Raw genomic sequence first — 5,193 nt, 5'->3', positions numbered from 1 at the left:
GAGGAAGAGCAATGTCTTATTTTCATATTGGAGGGCCTTTTGAACTTGGCTTAAATTCCTAAGGGGAAAGGAAAGGTATAGTGAGGCATGTTTGACTCCCTCTTCCTTATCATGGCCTAAATTAGTTTTTCAGGTTTTCCTAGAATTCTACTTAGCCAAGATGGGTACATTCATTCAGTCCATTGGTGGGCTATAGATATTAATTTTGTAGTTTATCTTACCCCTTTTCATCAAGGTATACCAGAGGCAGTATTAATGGCTGAGCTTTTATTTAGTCTCATACTGATTCTGGGGTAGTATACTACCTGCCCCAGGTCCATCATGTACCTCAGTGAGACCCCTATGGCCAAGGGTCTCAGAGTCAAAAGACTTATGGCCAATTAAATGTTCTAGGACAGACAGGAATGGAGGTGGGCAAGCATCATTAGCTCTTAAAACCCTTTTAAGCAATATGAGTAAAAAAATAAAATCTAAATTTAAGGTTACACATAAAGAAAAAACAAGAGCATAGTATTAAGCTATATTGGGGGAAAACGTGCTCCCAAAGATCTCTAAGACACAACACTTCAGCAACAAGCCACAATAGTAGTCAGAATCAGAGGAGAAAAACTCACCAAAGTGATGAAAAAGCTAAAAGAGAGAGTTACATGACTTTGAGAAGCTTTAAAAAATAAATTACAGGATCAAAAAACTAAACTTCTAATAATTTAGCAAATTAATACCTTAAGAAGGTTTGGTTTTAACACGTAGACCATTTCTTATCACAACTTACACAGATGATCTACAACATGCTTGGACTTTTCAACTTGTCTTATACTATTTCTTAAATAACCAGTCATTTTACTATATGGCAAGAATTTACCATACTTGATCGCTCTTCATACAAAATCATCGTTCTTTATATTCTTTCTTGCAAAAATGCATATTTTAAATTCATAACTTTTTTTACATATCTCTTTTCTACTCACCAGTTTCATCATATTTTGAACCTACCTTTTAATAACTTCTGAATTAGAAATAACACATTTTTAATTATTAGTAAAAATACATCTTCTTTAGCATATTTTATGTAAACCTAGGAAGTGAGAAATCCTGAAATGCCTACCAGATATTTGCATTCTGTAGATTAGAACCATTCTACAATTTTAACATTTTTAACTATACCAAAGGTTACTGTTTAAAGCCACTTTAACCATTCTAAAACCTACAAACATCAGTGGTTTATCTAGGTAAAAATCTTAAATTTTAGAAGACACAACATTTTCTTCAAACTGAAAAGTTTAAACTAGTCTTATTTGTTTAATTTATGAGTGCTCTTTTATTTATAAGCCAATTTAATATGAAACTAGACACAAAACGCATAACGTAAATGAAGTGACCTATACAAGCCAACTGGATCAAAATTATTTAAAAAATTGACACCTCCCTACCTGGCCAAATGTTGGTTTTCCCAGTAGGAATGAAAGACAGGAAGAAGCAGGGAAGAGGATCTTATAACATTAAATATGGAAGGGAGGTGGCAAGCTGTGTTGCTAAAGGGAACACCCTGGAGTTTCTGAGCTGCCAGAGAGTTCACCCAGCAATGGAGATACTGAAGAAAAATATTCAGGTGGCTGCTTATTTGCCAATGGGGAAAGCTGTCTATCAGGTCAAGAGTCCACAACCCCCAGTAGACTTACTTGAGCAAGACAGCTCACTGGGGCTAATGGAAGGTTAGATCTAGTATTGAGCTGGAGCTTTTTCCTTTCTCACTGAGGACAGTTAGGATATTCTTATTGTCAATGGCCCTTTTGCTTTTGGAAGGAATACTGATTTTGGCCCAGGGTCTGTTGAGTCAGAGGCTCTGCTCTGGGTGTCCCAGAAGCTGAACTCATGACACTTTCTTGGAATAGGTAACCCTAGGGGATAGGGGGATTAAAGCAATAAAGGGGGCTTTATTAATCATTGCTATTCTAAGCCTTTTTTTTTTTTCACCTATTTTGCCTTGTCCCTATTGTTGTAAACTTTAAAGGCTACATTTAAGAATTGGATCATAAGGGTTTGAGGTTCCATTACTGCTTTTTGTAGCTTCCCCCAAATGTCAGGGGAAGATTGAATATCTATGAGGGCTTTCCCTTCTGAGGAGTCTGTGTCTACATTAGTATGTTTCCTCAACCAAATAGCCTTGAAACAGAGTGGGATTTTTATCCTTTCCCTGAGTTACTTCTCTAATCTTTCAATAATTAACTGGCTTTACCACACAGTTTTTAATATCTTCTATTAAACAAATTACCATCTGAATTCTGTATTTGAGATCTAGGGAACCCCTTTGGTAACCCTACTAGGGGTCCAGATTTGGGACTGTGGTTCCCCCCATATGATGAATGGCATGGCCCTGGTTACAAGCAGCCATTCCATCAGCATATTCATGGGAGGTGCCCAGAATCCTTTGGTTTTCCTCTATAATATAGCAAGTGGACAATAATATTTTCAAATCTTGCCAAGTTAAGTCAAAGGACATGGTCAACTTAACAAACTCCTCTATAAACTTACCTCAGTCCTCTGAAAACCTAACACAATTTTTTTTTCTTGCATGAAGCTAAATCAGACACCGAATAAGGCACATGTACCCTGATTGTCTCCCCACCTCCACTGGCTGCTTTCCACAATGGACACAGCCTTCATTTTTGAGGCTGATATAGGGTCCCATTCCTGGTGATACTGGTTGCGCTTAATTTTTCAGGAAGCAGGGGGTATAGGCTGAGGATAGTTGGATAAGAGGGAGAGGTGCCTGACGACCTTACGGTGTAATCTTGGCCTAGGGAACTGGCAGGACCCCTCTCAGCACTGAGGAACTGAGGAGACTCTGGGGAGGGCATAAGCTTTCTAGTGGAACAGCTAGAAGGAGATCGCTTACGTGTGGTTTCCTTGTGCCTGGAAATAATGAGAGCCAGTAAAGGGTCATGAAAGCCTACACATAAAGAACCTCCTCTCATTTTTCTTCTTTTTTTACAGAATGAATCTAATTGTAAAATATTATAATGTAAAGAACCATGGCAAGGCCAGATCTCTTGGTTTTCTAACTTGTACTGAATCCAGATCTTATTGCAACAGAAAATGAGATTTTTTTCTTTAAGCCAAATTTGAGTTCACTCCAATAGCCTAAAACACATCCTAGTGGAGAGTCCTCTGGAATGCTCATCATTTTCCCCATGTCTAACAAAGATTTTACTGATTACAGAAAAATTTTTTTAAATCTAGCAAGAGGAAAAGCAACAGGGACCTTGCAATTTTTCCCTTGTAGATACTTGCTTCCTGCAGAGAAGGTTTAATTACGGGTAGCAAGGTGTTTAAAAAGTGGATTAAAAGCATTTGCTAGTGAATGAAATATGACAAAAGAAGTACTCTTACTAAGCCAAGTGTAGAAGAAAAAATGTAAATAAAATGACAATTAAAGAAGAAAATGCTGTTATGGAAAATGATAACTTCAGAATAGAAAATAAGAAAAGGCAAAATCAAGATTCCCTTAGGGTGGGCTTCCAACTAACAGTCTTAGAGGGAATGCCAGTGACAAACACCCCAGAGCACCCAGGAGGTGACCAAAAATATCAAATTCTGAAAACCCAGAGAATCCAAGTATCAGCCAAGGAAGGTCCCCACACAAAATGCTGGAAACCCTGGAGGATCTGGGAGCAACCAAAAGCCGAAAATTCTGGAGTATCTGGTGGGCACCCAACCATGAACCCCAAAGTTGTGGTTGGGGCCACAGAACAACGTGACTCTGGCACCCCAGCATAGACACAATGAGGACCTCTCACAACCAATTGTCATGCCTTAAATAATTGCTCAGGAATTCAAAACAAAAAATGAAAGACTGCAGATAAAGCATTCATATTAGGACTGCAAATAAAATGACTTGTGGAGCAATAAAATAGAGGAGAAAGGACTCAGGAAAGGGGTAACAAGAACATGATTCCAGTCACTCAAACTATGGGGGACTTTTAACTGACCAGTTAGCTAAAGGCTTTTATTTGCTAGCTTACCCAGTATCATGGAGCAGAGAGGAAAGTTACCCATCCACAGGAGCAAAAATGACATTGACTGATCTTCCACATGGGACCAAGTCGAAGATTTCTTCAGATTACCCCAGCTTGGGTGGCCTTAGTTATCATGGTGGGAGGGGCCACTATGGGGGCAAGTAACTCACCACTGCCAGTAAGAGTGGCAGGTCCCACATGGGGCAGCAGTACTGTGGCTGCTTGCCCATCCAATGGGCTCCGCCTACCAGGAACAATGTTGGCTCTGAAAAGAGCCTTTGGTTAGTGTTACAGCTCTTGCAGTGTTAGCAGATCTTTGGTGTTATAGCCTCAATGTTACAGCTCTTGCAGCCTTGATCACTAACTGTTTCACTGTCTCTGTCTCTCCGCCTGTTGTCTTGTTAATCACCACTTCTCCTCTCTCACTGTCACCTTGCTGACTGCCGACTGCGACATCTCTCACTGTTTCTCATGTCATCATCTTTGTTCAGCTTCTTTTGGATGCTACTTGATGCAAGGCAGGCAGCCTCCAAACTGGGTTCTTGGCTTCACTCAGGAAAGAATTCAAAGATGAGCCAGTGTTGTTAGCAAGTTTTATTGAAGCAGCGGTGTACAGCAGTGGAAGAGGTACTGTTCTTGCAGAGCAGGGCTACCTCATAGGCAGTGTGCTCAGAGTAGCAGTTCAGGAGCAGCTCTGCAGTCATATTTATACTCACGTTTAATTACGTGCAAATTAAGAGTCAGGTTATTCAGCATTTTTCAGAAGAATGGTGGCACTTCTCTTCATTGCCATGGAAATCAGTGGTAACTTCCTTGAGTGCCCATGTCACTGGTAAACTGGACATGGCACTGATGGGCCTGTCTTATGGAGAGGTGCTTTCACCTCTTCTCTATTTCAGCCAGTCTTCAATCTGATCTGGAGTTGAATTCCTGCCTCTGGAGGTGAGTCCCATCCCCTACCTCAATTATACTGAAAAGACACTTGCACTCATATGCTCAACATCATGCTATTCACAATAACAAATACATGGATTCAACCTGGTTGCCCATCAATGTTCAACTGAATAAAGAAAACATGGCACATATACACCATATTATATTACACAGCCATCAAAAAGAATGAAATCTTATCATTTACAGCAACATGAATGGAGCTGGAGGACATAATTCTAAGAAT

The sequence above is a fragment of the Homo sapiens genome, chromosome 14 (assembly GCF_000001405.40).
Source record: "Homo sapiens chromosome 14, GRCh38.p14 Primary Assembly".
Taxonomy (NCBI): domain Eukaryota; kingdom Metazoa; phylum Chordata; class Mammalia; order Primates; family Hominidae; genus Homo; species Homo sapiens.
Note: the sequence above shows the minus strand (reverse complement) of the source record.